At 34.4% G+C, this 21,989-nt stretch overlaps 1 long non-coding RNA gene across 1 annotated transcript in view, besides 1 other annotated feature; it reads right to left on the bottom strand.

Moving 5' to 3' along the window:
- The window catches only part of LOC105377899 (uncharacterized), a 198,745-nt gene extending 177,030 nt beyond the window's left edge, over positions 1–21,715 (bottom strand). Inside the window, exons 1-2 of the long non-coding RNA XR_001744262.2 lie at positions 20,496–21,715; positions 13,320–13,487 (exon numbers count right to left, since the gene is read on the bottom strand). This is a non-coding gene — a long non-coding RNA (uncharacterized LOC105377899). The remainder of the gene's footprint in view (positions 1–13,319; positions 13,488–20,495) is intronic.
- Positions 14,012–14,061: a silencer, noted in NCBI's record as "silent region_17403". NCBI's record gives its function as "represses an Ori minimal core promoter by ATAC-STARR-seq in GM12878 lymphoblastoid cells {active_cell/tissue: GM12878}" and the evidence as "EXISTENCE:reporter gene assay evidence [ECO:0000049][PMID:35858748]".
- Positions 21,716–21,989: the final 274 nt, after the last annotated feature.

Genomic DNA, 21,989 nt, shown 5'->3' with positions numbered 1-21,989 from the left:
AACTTTCATTGTGCGTGCTAATTAGCCATTTTGCTCTTCAATGCCAAACAAACTCCTGTTTTGTTTTGTTTTGTTTTTTCTCACAAACATAAAGAAAGTAATGTAGGAGGAAAGTGAAATATATCATACTAAGAATGTGTTAATATGCATGTTAAATCATATTAAGTCTGATTTAACTGTAATATGTTGTCTTTCCACAATAAGATGTAAACTTACAAGTTCATTACATAAAACTCACAAGAACAAAATGGATATAATGTTTTTTCAACTTTTAAAATTGCAACAAGTTTAATATTAAGTTTATATGCTGCCTATGCTGACAATATAAAACTTATTTTTTTTTTTTTTAGAAACAGACTGACCAGGTTTAAATCTGTTAACGGTTTAGTGCAGAAAAATAATTTTAAATGTATCTGTCCTCTCCCTTTTTGAATGAATCCTTCTTTAAAACATGGTAATAAAGTACTCTGACTTTAAAGGCTCCCTCTGTGCAGCAGCAGGCAAAACACAAAAGTAATTTCATTTACTAAAAGGAATTGAAAATAAGATATATCACTAGAAAATAAGAATAAATATAAATTTATGTATGGACTTCAAGTCATTTGGGAGGTATTTCAAATATTGATTTTCTCTTCCATGTCATAATATAAGAGATAGTCTTCTCTCACTTTAAAATTTTGAGAAATAAAGAGCTCTTCACAGTTTAAGCATTTTTAAAATTACCTAGGGCTTTTAGCAGATATTTGATAATTGTTTAAGATGTTAATTATCTTTCTAATGATTAACTGACCCAACTTAATAGTCTCTCCACTAGGATAAATCACCCATATTCTAGAAAAATATAACCAAACTCTTAGCATCTCTATTTGGGTTCCCAATGGGCATTTCAAAATTACCAAGTTCAAAACAGAAATCTTGACTCAACAGCAGCCTCAGATCTACCCCACCCCTAAAACGTCTTCTGCTTTTAGATGTCCTCATTCACACTTGATATTACCTTGATGATCACCCCAAAATGTAAAAGGCAAAATTAATTCATCTCTTTAATAATACCCCACATCAAATCCATCTGCTTAATCTAGGGGTTATATACTTCTCACATACTTCTCAGATCAGACCATTTCCATGAACACTGACCATCTTGATCATTACCATCTTCTCTCGCCTGAAATACTAGAATAGCCTCCTAACCTGTTACCCAGTTTCCATCACTGGATTTCACATGACTCATTTTCTACATGCTAGTCAGGGCAAATTTTCAAAAATGTAAATCAAGTCATGTTACTCCTTGGATTAAATCTTTCCAATGGTTTCTCATTGCAGAAACTATTGGAAAGCACTCAAGGAATACCATTAAGTACTTCAAAGTAGCGGATAACAACAACAATAAATATCTAATCTCGTTGTGTAAGCCTACAATCTACTGCTTGATTCAGTCGGTCTGCTTAACCATTCACTACACTTCAACCAAACAGACTTTGCCAAGCTCATTTTCTCAGATAGAACTTTTCATATTTCTCTTAAATCCTACAAATTCCTTGCCCTAATTATTCAAAAGCCTGGCTCTTTGTAATAATTCAGGCCTCAAGTCAAACGTCACCTTCTGAAACAGACCTTTATTGGCCATCTCACTTATGGCAGATCTCTCTTCCTTTCTACTCCAGCCACTTCTGATCCTATATGCCAGTGTTATTATTATAGAACTTATTACCATCTGAAAGTACGTAAACTTTTTTTTTTTTTTTTGAGTTGGAGTCTCGCTCTGTCGCCCAGGCTGGAGTGCAGTGGCGCGATGTCGGCTCACTGCAAGCTCCGCCTCCCGGGTTCACGCCATTCTCCTGCCTCAGCCTTCGGAGTAGCTGGGACTACAGGCTTCCGCCACCACGCCCGGCTAATTTTTTTATATTTTTAGTAGAGACGGGGTTTCACCATGTTAGCCAGGATAATCTCAATCTCCTGACTTCGTGATCCGCCCCCCTCAGCCTCCCAAAATGCTGGGATTACAGGTGTGAACCACAGTGCCTGGTAACTCACGTAAACTTTTAAAGATCCAAACAAACATGCAGTAGGCTGATTCATTTGAACAGTATAGACTAACTCCAGAATTAATGTATTAATAATAGTCATTGCCTTTAATGAAGGTTACACAATTCCCTTAAAGTCAATATAATAATTTTTGAAATTTGACAGCTCAAGAAAAAATAGAAAGAGGCTTAAAATCTGTTCAAGTATGTTATGAATAGCAAAGATACAATGTACTCTTAGAAAATGTATCCGTGTAAAATGAACATGATTATGATTTGATTTGTGCAGTCTTGTATATATGATTACTCTAAATATTGCTTGTTAATTCTTAGAATTATATTAAATATGCTAAAGCAAGATTGTTTAATATCCCTTGTGATTTCCATGAGAAATAAATGTCGTTTTCATTTGGCTAGTGGAAAATATGAACACAAGTTCAATACTAATTTACATAACGTACTGTGCTGTTTCCAAAGGCTCAAGAATATGCATTTTTTTCCACATAGTAGTAATCCCTTCCACTTTATAGTATGAAAATCCCATCATATATATTATCTCATTTGTGCCTCATAACAATCATCTGAGTTAAGCAGAGCATTGTACTATTTCATTCCTTCAAATGAGGGAAAAAGAAAACTGGGGATCAAAAAGTTGCATATTATAATTTTTTCCAAATTGCACGGCTAGAGAATGAACAAACCTACTGTATAGCCCAGGGTTTAAATTTTTATCCCAGCACTCTTTTCATTGTATCATCCACCTCTGTTAATTTCCTGACAGGTAGCACAGGAAGTAATTAAAGAACAGTGCCTTGAGCTATGGCTGCCCACAGAAGCATCATGGCATCCATGTTTCCCTGCAACAGCAGATCCAGTTATGACTCCAAGAAGGAAGTAACTCTTTTAAACACAAGGGGATGAAAACTTCTCGTGTATCATCAAAGTGAAAAAGAGAATGCTAATTCTACGAAGAGAAAGCAGCTGCCATTAGACACACATCTCTCAGAATCAAAGGGCAAAGAGCAGCTGGAATCCTCTCCCAGACAGCAGTTTCCAGAACATATTGAAGTGAAGCACAGCTTTCTATAGACATCATTTGATAAAGATTCAGTATTTAAAGATTCCTCATTGAAGGAGAAGAAAAAAAAATACACACACACAGGAAAAGACTGAGAGCCTTGTATTACAAGGCATAAAGCTTGCTCAGACAGATTTGGGCAAAACAAACTTGAGACAGAAAGATCAGAATCCAAATTGGACTATATCACATTGCTAAATGAATATCACAAGTCTTCTGTGAGGAGAATTTGGAAAGTGATATCAGAACCAATATTATACTTATTTGACTATACTGTAAATTATATATAATCTTTCTTTAATTTATAGACCCAATTACTCTGGACAAATAAATCTGCTATCTTCATTAAATTGTACTGCAATGAACCTTCTCTGAGTACATTTTTATGAAGATACCTGGACAACACAGGTCCTATTAGAGCAAAAATTCTGAAGCCCAGATGTGATGAGATTAATTAGTCAGTAAACCCACCCTATACCATTCTGAATGAGGTTTATTTCTGTTTGTCTTAGGCTGATTATTTCCCTCCACTAATGACCATTTTATCTCTCAAGGCCAGGATTATATACGACTGCATCCTTCCAAGCTCCCAAACTGCTTCCTTCCTTACTATCCTGGGCCTAGGTGTGATAATAATTTGGCTGCTACAAAGGCCTAGATTACTGAAATATCCATTGTGGTAACTAGACACCTACACCTTGATAATTAGTACCTCTGTAAATAAATCATCCTAGAAGTAACCTATTTTCAAGTGCCATCTGTTTCCTATTGGGACTTTTAACAGATACAGCCCCACATGGTACCCACAGAGTACAATACTTTCAATACTTTCTGTTATCTAGTCCTCATCACATCCATAACAGTTATCAAATAATATTTCCTGTTTTACATTAATAAAACTCCAGCTCATAGAGTTTAAACAATTAATATACTGCCATACATATAGTAAGAGGTAATGCTAGAATTTTGATAATAGTATAGTCTGAGCCAAAATCACTGATGTGTCTACCATAGTGTATTGACTCATAATTTTTTATTATATATATTCTCACAAATATATGCTTTATTTTTACGAAGATTTTTATAAAGGTACAGATGTTTTAGTGAAAAAGATTGTAGAATGATATGATTTGGCTGTGTCCCCATCCAAATCTCATCTTGAATTGTAGCTCCCATAATTCCCACGTGTTGTGGGAGGGACCTGGTGGGAGGTAATTGAATCATGGGGGTGGGTCTTTCCCATGCTGTTTTCATGATAGTGAATAAATCTCACAAGATCTGATGGTTCTATAAAGGGGAGTTCCCCTGCACATGCTCTCTTGCCCGCCACCGTGTAAGATGTGCCTTTGCTTCTCCTTTACCTTTGCCATGATTGTGAGGCCTCCCCAGCTATGTGGAACTGCAAGTCCATTAAACCTCTTTCCTTTCTAAATTACCCAGTCTTGAGTAGGTCTTTATTAGCAGTGTGAGACTGATGTAATACATAGAGGTAACCTATCTTGACTCCTTTATAAATAAATGAGGTAAGAAAACTAAGAAATAATGTACCTTGCTCAAATTCACAAAGATGTTGACTGCCACCTTAGCATCCTACATACACTTTAATTAAAGACATATGTAGTATTCAATGACTTAGTTATGCAGAGAGGTGAAGTGACTTGCCAAAGTGACATTCTTAAAGGTAAAGACCACGATTCTTATCATTTCCAAGCACCTGTTTTAAGAGTTGTAGGACAGTAGATGCTCATAACTCTGCATACAAAGAGAAAATAAAATTTTTGTTAATTTAATGTATCCATTAATTATTTAACTGGCTATATTATAGATGTGATTAGAAATAACAAATCAATTTATGAAAGTAATAGTAATTTAAAGGAACATAATTGACATTTTTAAATACTATATTTCTTTTTGTTACCTTCACATTATATTTAGAGTATCACTGATCAAATGAGGAAGAATTCTGATATTTTAGGTTATTTTGAGTAAACCCTTAATACTGGCTTAAAAATATTAATATTAATAAAAAATGTAAAAGGGGGATCTAAAATTTGACTAAGTTCATACTAAATATGAAACTAATAAAATTAGGGAAAAACACAAGAATTTCTGATAAAACTGTTATAATTTGAAATGCCTTTGGAAGTTTTAACCAATTAATCAAAAATAGAACTTAAGAAGTAAAAGTCTAAATATGGCAATATAAACAAAAATTATTTTTCTAGATAACATGTTTTTACAGCTAGAATATTCAAACTGATCAAAAGAAACACTAATAAAGTTAGTAAGAAAATTCGATAAGGTGGCTGAAAACAAAATAAACATACAAAATTGCATAGCTTTTCAGAATACCAGTCTTAAATAATTGGAAGTATAGTGGTCCCTGGGTAGCCATGGCGGATTGGTTCCAGAACCTTCTTCAGATATCAAAATCCATGGATGCTCAACTTCTTTGTATAAAATGGTGTAGTATTTGTACATTGCCTACACATCTTCTCCTGTATGCTTTAAATAATCTCTAGATTACTTATAATGCCTAATACAATATAAGACCATGTAAATAGTTGTTATACTATATGATTTAGGGAATAATGACAAGAAAATAGTGTGTGTACATGTTCAGTACAGACATAGCCCTCCATTTTTTCCAAATATTTTCTATCCTCAGTTGGTTAAATCTTTGGATGCAGAACTGTTCCATGCAGAGGGTTGACTGTATAATTAAATACATACATACATACATACACACACTCACACATACATACATGCTGATACTATATACACACATACATACATACTAATATTCAAATATGAGGCACTTAGTAAGAAAATGAATAAGAAATATATGGGATGTAAATAAAATAAACTGCAGATTTCCTGAAAGCAATGAAGAAATATTTAAATAAATTAAAAGTTATGCAATATTTCTGTATAAGACTACAAAACACAATGCAAAATTCTTTTCAAACTAACTACTTTAAATTTGTAACACAATTTTAATTAAAACTTTAAGGAGATCTTAACTTAATTTGAACAAAAATAATTATCAAGTTTGTGAAAGACAACCAGAGATAAAACAATTCTTAGTAATTTTAGAGTAATAACAGAAGATGTGTCTGAGAGATTAAAATATTTATAAAATGTATTATAATTCAGTGCAGAATTTCCACAAAATAGATAAATTGAGTAGATAAAATGAATAGCCCCCAAATGGAAACTAGTTCATAAAAAGAAATATGTAATAAAAAATGTGGAAAACAATGAGGGAATAAGAAATTAATCAACCAATGTTCTTGAACAAATGGTCACTAATAGAAAAACATGAATTAAGATCCTTTATACCATACGCCAAAATTCATTATAGATTAATTAAGTTTTTAAATATAACAGATCAAGCCATAAAAAGCTAAAAATGTATAATAAAAACTTTCTAAGTTTAAAGTAATTGTGATAAATTATGAAGGATACAGTTTATATGCTGGGAACATAAAAAGTTAAAGCTAAATATCAAGAGTATCACAAACACTATTAAAAGAAAGTGGAGAACTGCTTGCAATGGAAAAAGATTTAATAACTATTGCATAGAGTTCACACAAGCCATCAAGGAAAAAACTGATACAATAGGTGAATAAGTAAAGAATATGAGAGACAATTCATAAAAAAGGAATTTCATATAATAAATATACCACAAAGCTGATTATCCAGAGTAATAAAATATATTTTCATTAAAATTAAATCAAAATTTCAACAAACAGATTTAGAAAGATTTTTAGAAGTTAATACTTTTTAAAAGTTTGTGAAAAGAGGAAGTCTCATTCATTGACGGAAATTGTATGTTTCTGGGAAGTAATTTGAAAATATGTATTAATATACATATTTTATTCTTGGTCATCCATAACAGGGACATAATCTAAAACATAAATATTTATGCATTAAATTGTTTCACGCTGCATTAGGAAAAAAAAAGCACACCTACGTTACATATATGATATGAACCATGTACAACTCAGCAGTTCATGTTAATTGATTCTTTTGTAAATCAAAATATCTATAATACATTGCACTTTCCTAATGACTAATGATGCTGAGCATCATTTTATATGCATATTTTCTTTTAGTATATACTGTTTTGTGAAGTGTCCATTTAAACATTTTACCATTTTTATTGAGTTACTTGTCTTTTTACTACCGAAGTTTTGCTTTTATTTATATATTCTAAATGACAAGCACATAGTGAGGTACCATGACACATCTTTTAGAATGGCTATAATAAAGTGACTGACTAAACTGAGTGTTAGCAGCATGTGGAGAACCTGGAACTCTCATATACTGCTGCTGGCAAAATAGCACAACAACTTGGGAAAGTAATTTGGCATTTAAAAAAATAATTATCATATTTTCCAGCCATACCATCCTTAGTATTTATCCAAAAGAAGAAAAAGTATATATCTATACAAAGACTTGAACAGAAATATTCATAGCACCTTTACTTATAATAGCCAAAAACTGGAAATAACCCAAACGTCCATGAACAGATGAATAGACAAATAAATTGTGATAAATCCACACAATATGGAACATACTAGACAACAAACTAGAACAAACTATTTACTAATACATGCAATGACATGGATAACTCTCAAAATAATTATGCTGAGAAAAAGAGGATAGATATTTAATTATTAATAAGCCATGAGTATTCAACTATTCAAATGATAAACAATTCTAGAAAATGTAATAAAATCTATAGTGTTTAAAAAGTAGATGGAACTGTGGGGTTTGGGGGGAACGTGAGAAGAGTGTGGGGAAGGGTAGAAAATAAGAATTATAAAAGGTGATGAGATCAGTTTAGGGAACGAAAAATATATTCATTATCAGGATTCTGTTTATGGGTTCACAAGTATATACTTATGTCAAAATTAAGCAAACTACATTTGACATATGTAAAGATTACCTTATATCATTTATACCACAATAAAGCTGTTAAATATTTTAGAATGACCATGCATATGACTTTTCATGTTTAAGTGATTTTCTTTATTCTGCAATTATATTATATATGTGTGCAGATTCCTACCTTGTAGCAGTAATGTGAAAAGTGGCCCTCACTGGAACGGTTTACAGAGGGAAGTTCTAAGTGGGTCAGTTAGACAGCATAGGTTACCCAAAAATTTCCCATGGAATATAGGCATAGGAGAGAAGGCAGTAACAATAGGGAGGAGGTGGAGCAAAGAACAGAGAAGGAAGAAATAACATAAGTTAGCTGTAGAAAATGGGTTTGGAATGGTCCAAGAGCACATAAAGGCTGAGGTCCTGAGGCCTGTAGTCCAAGGTCTCACGAATTCTCCCAGGCTGGTCATGAAGACTAGAGTGTCTCATTTGATTTTTGAGGAAAGCCTAGCAGGTTTCATTAGACTAGGGTAAGACAAATGACATGTATTCTGAACTAGGTAATGAATCAATTGATTAAGTAAAGAAGAGACCTCTCAATGATACACCTTCAAAGGAAGAGAAGTTCCCATACTAGACAAGGAGAAACATTGTTCACATTATGTAAAAAGGAATTTGCTGATGAATTGTAGCTAGAAAGGAAGATATGAACACTTTCTTATCCTACTGTGTATATAAAATAATTGCTCTTTGAAAAAGTAAAATCTCAATTTAATGATAATGCTTAGGGATTAAGATGTTCTTGTTAATTGAATTTTTTATTTATACAATCATTGATGACAATCACAGAATTTCACAGTTGGAAAAAGACCTTGGAGATCATTTAGTCCAACCTCATTTTATAGATTAGGTAACAGAGGACCAAGAGGTTAAGTAAATGGCCCAAGGTGGCAGTCAATTAGTGACAGAACTGGGATTATTTTAGAGAAACTTAACTAGAACATGCTTTTTGTTTCAATCTCTGTGATTGAAAATCTTTCTGCTCAAAATGTATTCATCTACTTAAATACAGTGTTAATATAAAAATACAGGAACTCTGAACCTGTAAGGAGGTTGTGCCCCCAATTTCTTCTTTTACTAATTCATTTAACTAATATTTATGGAATGCCTACTATGTTCTGGGCACTGATTAAGTTCTGAGAATAAAGAAATAAAATGTACAAATAGCTCATTTTCTAAGGGTTTGGCAGTAAGTAAATGAGATAAGTGCTATGGCAGTAAGCACAAGGGCTCTAAAACCATAGCAAAGAGGTGTCTGCTGGGGTGAAAAAAAAGATTGTGGCAAGTATTGCATTAATATAAACAATTGATTAATTAAAGATACACACACATTCACACACCCACACTCACACATACACACACACACACACACACACACACACACACAGTAAAACTATAAAGAAAAGAAAGGAAATTATTATCACAAAACTTAGGATAGCAGTTTACTCTAGGACAGAAGGAACGGAAGCAATTGGCAGAAGCCCATTTAATTATATTGGTAATCATCTATTTCTTTTCTTTTTTTTGTTTTTTTTTGAGATGGAGTCTCACTCTGTTGCCCAGGCTGAAGTGCAGTGGCACGATCTTGGCTCACTGCAAGCTCTGCCTCCCGGGTTCACACCATTCTTCTGCCTCAGCTTCCCGAGTAGCTGGGACTACAGGCGCCTGCCACCATGCCCAGCTAATTTTTTGTATTTTTAGCAGAGACGGGGTTTCACCATATTAGCCAGGATGGTCTCGATCTCCTGACCTCGTGATCCGCCCGTCTCAACCTTCCAAAGTGCTGGGATTACAGGTGTTGGCCACACGCCTGGCCAGTAATCATCTATTTCTTGAACTGGAAGGTCATATATATATATACTTATTGTATTTTTTAGGTAGTTATATATGTTTTGTGTTTACAGGTTATATTAAATAAAGAAAAAAAAGTTTAAGCAGCTGAGATGTAAAAAGTTAAAAGGAGAATGAGTGAAAATTAAAGTCCCTCTTAGTGGTAAGGGGAAGAAGAGTTTCCATAGTAGTTCTAGGGATACAGATGTAACAAAAGGAAAAGTGGAGAATTATAAATAAGTTGTGCTTGGGAATGGTGGCAGACACTTCATATTTTTTCACAAAAAATATGAAAAAGAGCCAATTTTGAGAAATATTAGGAAAAGATAAAGGCATTTCAGGGTGTTCCCTTTGGATTGGATGTCCATGGTTCTGTTAGCAAAAATAAGAGGTATGTTTCATATTTGCTGAGAATAAAGGCAAGTGGTTGTAGGCTAGGGAGAGAAAAGTTAAGGGGGTGTGGATGGGAACAGAAGTGTTCTTTAAAGCTAGAAGGGAATAAAAAAGTGTGAAACAGTCTCTAAGTGATACAGAAATTACCATCAAAGTCTGTCTGAAGAGTAGCAATTAATCTGAAGTTGATTATCTTAACAGTCTTGTGACTTTTGTTTTTTGTTTGTTTGTTTAGCAATGATGAGCAGGCTGGCAGCAGAAATAGAGAGCTCAGGAAGCTTAGAATAAGGCGGAATGTGCTGTGGAGTTGACTGAAAAGGAAGGAAACATAGGGTATTGGCTTATGTCATACATGGGACTGGAGTGTGAGAAGTGAAGTTCTGATCAAGCAGACAAAAGAGTGGAAAAGTTGAAGCCATTTGTACCTTAATCTAAACCCACCAGGGAAGAACAGGTATAGAGATTATATTTAGGGTGCCATAGTTAGGTTTATTGTGAGACTAACTACAAAGTGCAGTTGAAAGGGGAAAGGGTGTAGGAGGTTGTATGAGCCATGAACAATGTACAAAGAATGTGACAAACTCAATTTGGATTCAGACAAAAGTCAAAGAGGGTTTTGCAAGAGCAGGTGTTAGTTCCCAGCAGGAAAGCAGGGCACAGCTATAATCTGGTTGATGGCTCAGGAAATTTAGGAAGAAAAAAAAAGGTCTCTATTGAGAAACAGGTTTGTAGGTGGAAAATAAGGGCCCAATTAGTAGGTGAATGTTTAGAAGCAACACTTTTGTACAACTAGAAAGGAGCAGAAAAGGAGACAGGCTAAAATGAATTGAATTATTAATTAGCCCTTGTGGGGGAACTGGATCCCGTAGAGATAAGAGTAAGTTTGACTGTGAGGTCCACATTCCAGAGCCTCTGGCTAGAAGAGTAGTTAAGGCTAAATGTCATCAGATTTGTGTAAGTTGTTCAGTAGATCTTTCCTAAGCAGGATGGTCTTAGACATGCGGAACTGCCAAGGTGTATTGGATGGGTGTCAGGTTCACTAGCAGAGTTTAGAACAGAAGAGTAAAGAACTGAGGTAGGTGCTGTGAGAAAAGGCAGAATAGACATTGTTTAGTAGAAAAGGTTCAGCATTGGGTGTAGGAGGTGGTTAGAATTTAGGGCCAGCAGCCCTTGAGATTCTCTGCTTGTGACTGATACAGTGTGTTGGTTGTCTTCAGGTTTTCTGTTAGTTCATATCATCACCAAGACTGTCCAAAATGATTTATAGTCACCTACATTTCTTCTTGCAGACATTCATCAGAATGTTGGATCATGGGTTAGTATTTTCAAAGACTTGTTATTCTTGGCAAACTCAAAGTGTTCCCCAAAAATAGGAGCACCAGTGCTGTCAAAACTTCTTTAGTATATGAAACTGTCACAAAGGAAAAACAAAACCCACCCTGGAATCCTGGAAGATTCAATCGCTTTCACTTACAGGCCATACTTAACAGAAAAATGACAAGCCAGAGTCACTAACCTTGAGATAGTGAAATGTGGTCAATCATTTGGGAAGGTTAAAAGTGCGTGAGTAAAATTTGTGGAACATATGTGACGTGAAAAATGAAAGGAATAGGACTAAGTGTAGGAAAAATATTCATATAAAATAGAGAAGTTAAAAGTATATTATCATTTTAATTTTTTGTATTAAAATGCACCTTAAAGTTACCTTTAAACTTGATGGATTTAATTTTAATGGGTTGTGTGTGTAAACTTCACTGCAGTGTTCTTCACTGTAAAGCATAAGAGAAGCAACTACATTTGGGCATCATCTGGAGGATTATTCAGGAAAATACCAATAGGGTCTTAAAATTATTTCACCTATGGGGAGTCCCACAGCATGAACCCTGAGTGCAGTGTTTCAGCAAAGCTTCAATATATTTGTATTTTAATACTTTGGAACAAAAACTAGAACAATGTGCTCTGGAATTTAAACATATCACATTAAGAATTCATGGTGAGTGGCTGGGTGTGGTAACTCACGCCTGTAATCCCAGCTCATTGGGAGGCCAAGGTGGGAGGATCACTTGAGGCCAGAAGTTGGAGATAAGACTGGCCAACATGGTGAATCCCCATCTCAACTAAAAATACAATAATTAATTGGGTGTGGTAGTATGCGCTTGTAAACCCTGAGGCAGGAGAATAGTTTGAACCGGAGAGGCAGAGGTTGCAGTGAGCCAAGATCATGCCACTGCACTCCAGCCTGGGTGACAAGCTGTCTCAAAAAAAAGAAAATAGAAAAAGGAATCCATAAGAATGCTAAAATAATTCCCTATTTCATAGTCTTAAAGATTAATTAATATTTTATAATTTTATCATTATTAGATATATCTTTAATTTTTACTTTCTAAATTATATGTAAAATACTTTTAATTGTCTAAATTGTTAATAACTTTCTTCCTGTTGATATTAAATGTTATCCACAGAGAGTTTAAAATTAGGTTTTAATTGTTTTAGGCACAAAACTTTCATGAAAGCTTTTTGTAACCTTATTTATCTGAGAAATATTTTAATGTATTTTAACTTGATTTATGTTCTTGAATATAGGAAATTTTCTTAAAATATAAGTGCTATTCAACATCAATCTAAATATTTTGAACTATGGCCTGGAATAAAAATACATTTTACAAAAGCATGCCATTGTTCATTTTATCCATTTTTTTTCAAAGTTAGTCTTGAACACATACTTTCCTAAGGGTGAACAAAAATTATCACTGTAAAGTAGTTAAAAAAGAAAGAAAGGAAGAAAAAGTCATTCTTACTCATTTAAAATTTTGAAGAAGAAATCATGGAAATAGAAGAAGATTATATGAGTCAAGTTCCCAACATTTCATGGATCAAATAGGATACACTCAAATCTGGATCATTCAGCAAACTACTCAAATATGAGGCTATTTACAGAGATGGGGGTGTAAGGGAACCACAAAGTACAGTGCAGCAACTCTGGCTTGGTAGTAACTGTAGAGCTGCTGCCCCCTGACCTAAGGGAGAAGAGAGGGGACACTTACTGGACCATTACCGGGAGAGGGCCAATAGAATAAATACCAAGTTCATTCTCTTTCTGCCCACTGCTCGTCCACGGCGCTCCCCACTGGCCAGAAACAAAAGCCCTATTGCGGCAGTTTAAGTTGTTACATTTCCTCAAACAGCAGGGTAGAGAAGGAAGAGCAGAGGATCTGGAAAAGCAAACCCAAAATATATAGTTAAAAATGTTTCTCCTAAACTAATGTGCAACGTGTTTAATTCATAAAATTTATTGTGCAGTATTACTAATTACAACCAACAAGTAGATGGCTAAATTATTTCTAATTTCCATGATCATTATTGACAAAGTTCACAATCTTGCTTAACACAAATCTTATCACTAAATGAAAGTTAGAAGAGATATTTTCTGGGGTTTTGTTCACACACATACTTTTTAAAAATTAATATATTCAATAGCTAGTTTCATCATTCATTTTTTTTCAATCATTAACATGCACTCCGCTAGACAATAGGGATTAAAAAGGAGGTCTCTGCTCTCCAGAAATTCATAGTGTAATGAAAGAGACAAATTTAGCAAGTAATTAGAATACAATGTAAGTGAAAAGTGGTTAAAGACCTCAGAACTGGGAAGCCTTCACAAAAAGCTAACTTTTGACCTGAGACTAGAAGAATTACCGTAGATAAAGTGGAGAACATGTGCAAAATCAAGAAGTGAGAGGGTCTGGTATGTTTGGGAAACCACAAAAAGCTAAGAATGATATGGACAGAGTGAAAGTGAAAGATTCAGATGAGATGCGAAAGATGAATTAGGAACAAATTGTAAAGACTTTTTGAATACAAAAAAGTAGCTTGAATTTTGTCTTTAAGACAATAATTTTCAAACTTTTTGCCAAAATAATACAGAAAGCAGAGAGTGAGTTGGTACCATCATAAGTCTGTCAGTAACATATGAAGTAGTAATCTACTGCAAACCAAATAAATAAATAAATAAATGTTATTGTACTTTATTGTGAAAATTAATGATAATTTTACATTTTATTATTTTGTTTGTAATAATATGAAAGAGATGTTTTGACCCATTTACAAATGAGTAAAGTGGATACTAGAGTATGCTCAGCCATAGTTATTTTGGGGCATCTAAAACTTTTTTACATAATCCAAGAAAGTATGCCTTTCCCAGAAAGCTTTAAAGGCAGATTTCAAAAGTCCCACGAGGCAGAGGAGAGTTAACAGAGGTATAAATGTATATATAAATACGTATAAAAGTAAATTTACCAGAAGGAAATACTTTGATGTTAGGGAGGCCACCCAAATATTAGAGTCATAATAGGGACAGTGATAAGGAAGAAAAGATAACTGATTCAAGAAATGCAGCATCTAGGGTCTGAAAACTTTGGGAAAGGAAAAATAAGAATACAAGGATGATTTCAAGATTTCTATCTTGGAAAATGTTTCTCAATGGTGATAATATTGTTGAAAATCAAGAGGAAGGGTTGGAAATGAAGGTGATGATTACAGTTTGGGGACATATTGTGTGAGTTTTACAAGTAGGTCATACATGTAAGTAGAGTTTTTCAGAGAAATTATATAAAATCAGGTCTAGAATTATAAAACTGAAGTTTAGATGAAGGTTCAAAAATTAGTCACTTTTATGATATATGCCCCCATTTACCCTTATGTGATTATTATGCATTGCATATCTGTGTCAAAACATCTCATGTAGCCCATAAATATACACACTTATTTTGTACCCACAAAAATTTAAAATAAAATTTAAAACAAAAAAGTAGCCACCTTTAAACCAAATTTGGTCTATACGAGTGTTCTGTTTAACTTGTACCATGTTAAAATAGTTTTCTGAACAAACACTGAAACATTTGGAGACTAATTTCAACTCTTCTCAAAATACTGGAAGTTCAAAGAACCCTGAGCCAAAGCACCACATGACAAATATTCCACTTGCTAAGTGAGGGCTGCCCCTTTATAAGAGATTGGCAACCTCCTTTACTCCCCTGCTCATTAAAGACACACAAATGCTTACCTCCATCTGCTTTGCTCATTTATATTACCTGTGAGCACCTGTTGATCTTTATATTTTCAGTCAAAGCTTTTATAGTTAATGAAAGCACAACTGAAGAGGAGAGAAGCGGAGTACAACTGAGAAAGAAAAAGAATTAAGAAGAGACAAGGAGAAGAAATGGGAGGGGAGAGGGAGGAAAGAAGAATGTTTGCCCTGAAAAGTATTACAGAATTTGGAAGAGAGTTTCAGCAAAGGATTGTAAGGATTGTCAAACAAGTAAGAAAACTGAGATTATGCTGTCATGAAAGCCAAAGGACGAGAGATTTCCAATAAAGATATGAAAAATCCCATGCAGTGAAAAGGTTCGGTTCAAAGAAATTTGGAATTTTGGAGATCATGTTGTTTCAATAGGGGTCAGGTTGCAGGAAGTACAGTAAGAAGAATGGAAAATGAGAAAAGAGCTACAAATGATATAAAAAAATTGTAGTGATTTTTTTGTTTGTTTTTGAAAAGTTTAATTCACGTAACATTCTAAAAATGATTCTGAAAATGTTTTACATGTAAAGGTTTGTAGAACATCAGAAATCAGTGTCCTAAATTATAAATTCTTACTTGACTTTAAATAAATTTTATCTTTAGAATGCACATATCAAATGAGAAAATTGATTGGTGAAGAGAAACATGACTTGGACTTTGTTTTAGAATGTTGCTTGAATATGAGGATAGATGTGGACTTGAAATAAACCAACTTAAGGCTGTGGTAATTTTTGGACCTGACTCTGATTTCTCCTTATTTAGGAGACTATCAGAAAAGTTAGAGAAATATTAGTGAAAGCATGTATTATGCCTAAGGTTTATATAAACTTATTATCTAACTCAATATTTTAAAAAAATCATTTGTGGAACAGCAGTAAGTCCATTTACAGCTAATGACGTGTTCTGCACCCCACCTGTATCAGTCAGCTTGGTACATGAAACCAAATACAAACTCAAAAGGAGTATGCGATTGAAGAGAGTTTACAGAAGGGACTGTTGAACAAAGGCTTCAACATAGTTAAAAGAAAACATAAAAGAATGGTAAAACATCCAATGGCTCGTGATAGTGGAAAGACGGTTCAGCCCCAACCCTGAGTATATAAGGAGAGGAATTATTTAGAGAACTCAGGTAAACATGTCACTGTAGAAAAGGAGCAGGGCACGATCTGTGGCCTTCAAGAGACAATAATAACAGCCAACCTAAAGCCAGGCACTAACTGAGCTAGGAGAATAAGTAACTCAAACCCATTGTCTTTCTGATCTCTAATTTTTAGGCTTTGTTTCCCATATTCTGAGGCCAACCAGAAGTTAAGGCAGACCAGTTGATATGCCCGTAGAAGTTAGCCTCTCCTAGCACAGAGCAAAGTAGAAAAAGAACAGAAAGACATCTCTCTTTCAGCAAGTCTCCCAGGCCCTTGCTGGGAGACTTCAAGGAACAATGAGATATATCTTCTAGGAACAATGAGATATATCCTCTTCAAGGAACAATGAGCTATATCCTCTACCCCGATAGTAATCATGTCTCATTCTTACTCTCTTGCTGTTTGGAGTCTTGGACATAAGGCAGGTGCTATGGCATAGTAGTTTGTTGGTTTCCTTGTTTTTACAGCATTCAACCTCTTCTTATTTTGAAGAAACTCCCCATTGTTTATTGTCTCTGTGGGGATATGGGGGAAAGAACTCCTGCCTGTGATTGAAGGCTACTGGAAGCCAGAAAAATAGACTTTCCTTCTTCCTGCCCTTTGACTAGTAAGGTAAGTGTCTGGGCCTAAGAGCACTGAGTGAGATACGCCCCTGCCAAAACACTAAACTTGGAAGATATAAGCAAAAGTAACTAGAGTTAGGATTTATTCTAGACAGAGGAAGCTTTTCTCATTTCCTTAGCAGCAGCAGCAGTAGCAGTAGCCTGCCAGGTTATCCCTGCTAAAAACACTTGTAGTGCTTCCTGTATTTTTACTACTAGGAAGTGTTCAGCTCAATTCATTCCTCTAAACTAGCCTTCCAGCTTCTCTGCAATTACATATGTTCCAAAAATCCTCCCAATAAATGCGCTTGTTGGCTTCTGTTATTTGTACCCAAGAGCATCGTAACACGTATGGTTCCTAGTTGCAGCTTTGAGTTGCAAGCTGGATGACACCAGGTTCTCCCAAAGAGCAAGTGAAGTCCTTTCTTTGCTTCTGTCACCTGGATCTATCCCAGTTTGTCCTGTCCTCTTTATCCAGCCACTCAGTCCCCTTACGTAATCCTCCCTTTGACCTGACTCTTCCTCTTCCCTTCTCGTTAGTTTTTTATTTTAAAAAATAATTTTTTAATAAAAAAGAATTTTATAATTTCAATCCTAATCTTGGGGAATATTTTAATGAATTAACTTAAATGGGAATAACTGATAGAAGCTTAATACAATAACCAATAGACTTTCAAAAGTCAGAAGCCAGCTGTTAATGGAGATATTTGGGGAATAGGAAGACCATCCTGGCAGTCTAAAAATCTAAAACGATTGACTACTCTGATTACAAATCTTGATGCAAGGGAAGGCAGGAAAATAACATGTTACCTGTGTCTACTCTAAGCTAACAGCACTATGCTAGCCACTTTTGGAAAAAATTACCTCCTTTTGTTCTCGTAAAAATATAGTTTAGGCAACTGTCTCCAGTCATGGCTATTTAGTGAAAAACCTGGGAACTGAACATGTAACATCTACCCTCAGTTCCTGCGATACCACCATCCTGCCTAAAAATGACAGCTACCTCTTTACAGAACTTGACACTCATATATGAATGTGAGAAAATTAGTGGCAGGAGTCTGTTCAGTGACAAACGTACAAGAAACTATATGGCACCTCAAATTTCAAGATGAATTTTTGACAGCACAAGAGGCACTTTATTAAGAAGTCATGAATTTGATTGGGTTATGCTTAAAACATCTACTAGAAAACCATTTCTTAACATTACCATTTTATTTTCTATGGTATTGATGGAAAGGAAATTGCATAATTTGCTCATGTGTCAGGGGTAGTCTGCTTATTTACTGTTAATGATAATCAAAATATCTGACATGTCATAATGTTCTGGTAACACTTAAATCAAACTGATTATACTGGAAACCTAATAAACAGTAACTACAGAAATTTTTAATATGCTTCTGGCTGTTGACGTACTGCCAATTGGTAAAATATTTAAATTCCAAACCACAAATGGATGTGTATTAGACTGTATAATCAAAATAGAGGAAATAAAAACACAGCTTTGATTGCGCAGCCTTTTAACATTAAATTAAAGAAAAATAAGTAAAAATCAAAAAAATACACTTCAATTTTGGATGTTAACTTTAGAGAATTAATATTGTTTCACGAACAAGATGAGTTTCTTTAGTGTAATTGAATTCTTTTTGGTAATCGGGTTTCATAGGTGTGACTGGAAGCAGCTGCAAAAGCAAATCAAGTTTGCTCAGAAAGAATATTAATGGCATTCTGAAATTTCTTATTCCCAACAGGAGAGTAAAACTTTAAGCTAAATACTTGAAAGAATACACATTTTACATGTTTCTTTTAGTAGTTATGAGAGTTGCTTATTAATCAATGTTTAACAATGTAATTACAGCTGTTTTAGTCTCACCAGATAACACAGATTAATAAATGACCTGCAACTAGTGAAGTGTATAAAAAGGGTAATGAATTCTTTCCATCAGCACATTAATTTATTAGTAATAAACAAAGACCATGATGAATTAGGAGAATTGTAGGGTTTCTGATTATTGAAATCAAATTTCCAGATGAAAGCATTTAATCATTCAGTTTTCCTTCATTTATTTCTCTTCATGTCTGATAATGGGCTGGGATTTGCCTTTCAGGGCTGCATTAAATAGTTGATATAAAGCTCATCTCTTCTACTATTTGCAAGTTTATATTGATCCTATCCTTATTGTTATATATTAGTTTTACCTAACACTGAATGTAGTATAACTTTGATTTCAACTAATTGAATTATTTATGTTCAGAAGAGCTTCTTGTTCCAGCTCAATAAAACGTTGCTGGATCAGTAGCTGTTTTTTTCAAAACTGGAATTAACTATATAGAATCCTATTTGAAAGTTTCAGCTAAATCAAAGGAAAAAGGCAAAATGCATGCATATTATGACAAATATCACCAAAATATGACAATAAAGGAAAATTATTAGTCATATGAACACTGAAAAGTAACATTTAAGACTCATATTATCAACTTAAAAAAATCTAGCGTCTTTTGAATTTCAGAGCCATACAGTTGCTCAAATATGAATTTTTACCTGGTAGCATATATTATAATAAATATTTCTTCAATAACCACCAATTTGGGGGGGATGAAAAATTGGGGGGGGGGCAAAAATTTAGATATATATTACTAAATTAGAAAAGAAATGCTGCTTTAAAAGACTATAATTAGAAGGAAGAAATACTTAAGATTTTTTAAATGTGCAAAATTTGCTTAAAACCTATACGTATTCTGCTTTAACTGTACTTTAACATGTGAATTCGGAAAGAAAGGTATTCATTCTTTTAAGAAACAGTAGGTAGAGTGAGCTGGAAGTGAGAATTTTCCAAGGGTAAGAATTGGAAGCAAAATAAAATTTTACACTAACTTTCTGCCCAGAATGGAAATGAGTCAAGCAAGAAAAATACTCTCTCCTGATAAGACAGGGTAAATTATAGAATGTTTCAAACACCTGAAGGATGACACTGCCTCCTGCCTGCACCCACATGTAGTTGGAAATAACCTCTCTTCTTCTAGCTCTAGTCTAGCCTGATGGAACATAAAGTTTTTTCCTCATGTAAAAAGAGGCAAGTTCGCAAAGGAACAACTACTTATGCATGATCAGGAAGTAACTTGGTATTTTTTTCTGCAGGAAAACTTACAAAGAGGACGTTAAAAGCTTTTTAAGACAGAGAAATTATATATATATAATGATTCCTAATGCCAAAATTGTTCTGAATTCTTGGAAATTAAAAAAAATAGACATATATTCATTCTGAAATTGTGCTTTAAAAAAAAAAAAAGTAGGGTACTTCTACTCTCGTCCAAATTTTTTCACAAAAAAACCTTTTTCACGTTTCCTGGAAGACTATGGTGCACTGGGTCCTACCGTACTAGCCCTGTTTGTAGCCTCACCTTCCGGGATGTCCATGACATTTGGACTTATCATCCTTATGTTGTGCTTCATATAAGAGTTATTTAGTCATGTAGTAAAGACTCATTGACTGTCTTGTATTTTAATCCCTGTAGTGGCTGAAATAGTAGTTGCCAACCTGAAAGTACAGAAGAGTGGTAAAAATGAGCCACTTCTTTGGAGGCTCACACAATCTATTGCCAACAGAATATCAAGCTGAAGATGGAATTCATACTGCTCTTTAACTGTTTACCAAGTTGTGGTACCTGAACTCACCACAAATAGTAGGTTTAGCTTCTTGAGGAATTCGAATATCTTAGAGGGCTACGGAACCATTAGAGTCAGCATAAGAACAAAATTAAAGTTAATCAGCATTTCCTGGTGTGGAGCACTTTTCATTGTATCAGAATTCTGCTGGACCAATCAAAATATGAAAGAGGGAAGGGTATTTAATAAATATTTGAATAGATAAGTGAAGAGTAGTAATGACCAGTAGAGTAGGCAGTAAGAGTAGGTCAAATTATCTCAAGCACAGCCACATGCAGCAGGCGACAGTTGTGAATAAATGGGAAAATAAATATGAGAGATAAAGCAAACCCACATTCACGTATATCATACAGTTTTATATTTCACTCCCTTTTTTCCTTTCTTTCATTTTCATCAAGATTTCTGGTCACTTTCAGACCTAGGAAGCTCTTTTTTTCTGAAAATGTTTATATTTCACTTTAAAACATAATTTAGCAGATGAAAGGTTTAAATGGAAGAGGAAATCATTCAGTGGTGCACATATTAAATGTTTCTGACCATACCATTTCTACATTGTCACTACAACATGTACTAAGAAAATTGATAGTGAGATCTATGTATTTTTAGTTGTGATTTAATGCTTAATTTTAAGAAGATATTTATAAAATGTATATCCAGAGATTGACTAGGTATCAGTTGAAGGGACTCAGTGAGTAAAACCTATCACTTTTCCTTAAAATGCGGTATTTTGAGGTATAAGATAAGAAGCAAGCTCAACTGGTTGGTTGATGATAAGGTTTGGCTCTGTGTCCCCACCCAGATCTTATGAATTGTAACTCCCATAATTCCCACAGGTTGTGGGAGGGACCCAGTGGCAGATAAATTAATCATGGAGATGGATTCCCCCATACTGTTCTCGTGGTAATGAATCAGTCACATGAGATCTGATGGTTTGATAAGGGGAAACCCATTTCACTTTGCTCTCATTCTCTTTGCCTGCTGCCATCAATGTAAGACGTGACTTGCTACTCCTTGCTTTCTGCCATGATTGTAAGGCTTCCCCAGCCACGTGGAACTATAAGTCCAAATAAAACTCTTTCTTTTGTAAATTTCCCAATCAGCAGTGTGAAAACGGACTAATACAGTTGAAAATATGGGCCCCGAGGCAGAACACAGGAGGAGGGTCTCTCTGTCTCTCTCTCTCTCTCTCTCTCTCTCTGCTCCTTCTTCCCCCCTTCCAAAGATGGAGA

Source organism: Homo sapiens, chromosome 6, assembly GCF_000001405.40.
Source record: "Homo sapiens chromosome 6, GRCh38.p14 Primary Assembly".
Taxonomy (NCBI): domain Eukaryota; kingdom Metazoa; phylum Chordata; class Mammalia; order Primates; family Hominidae; genus Homo; species Homo sapiens.
The sequence above is the reverse complement of the archived record's forward strand: the minus strand, read 5'-3'. Positions and strand labels throughout refer to the sequence as shown.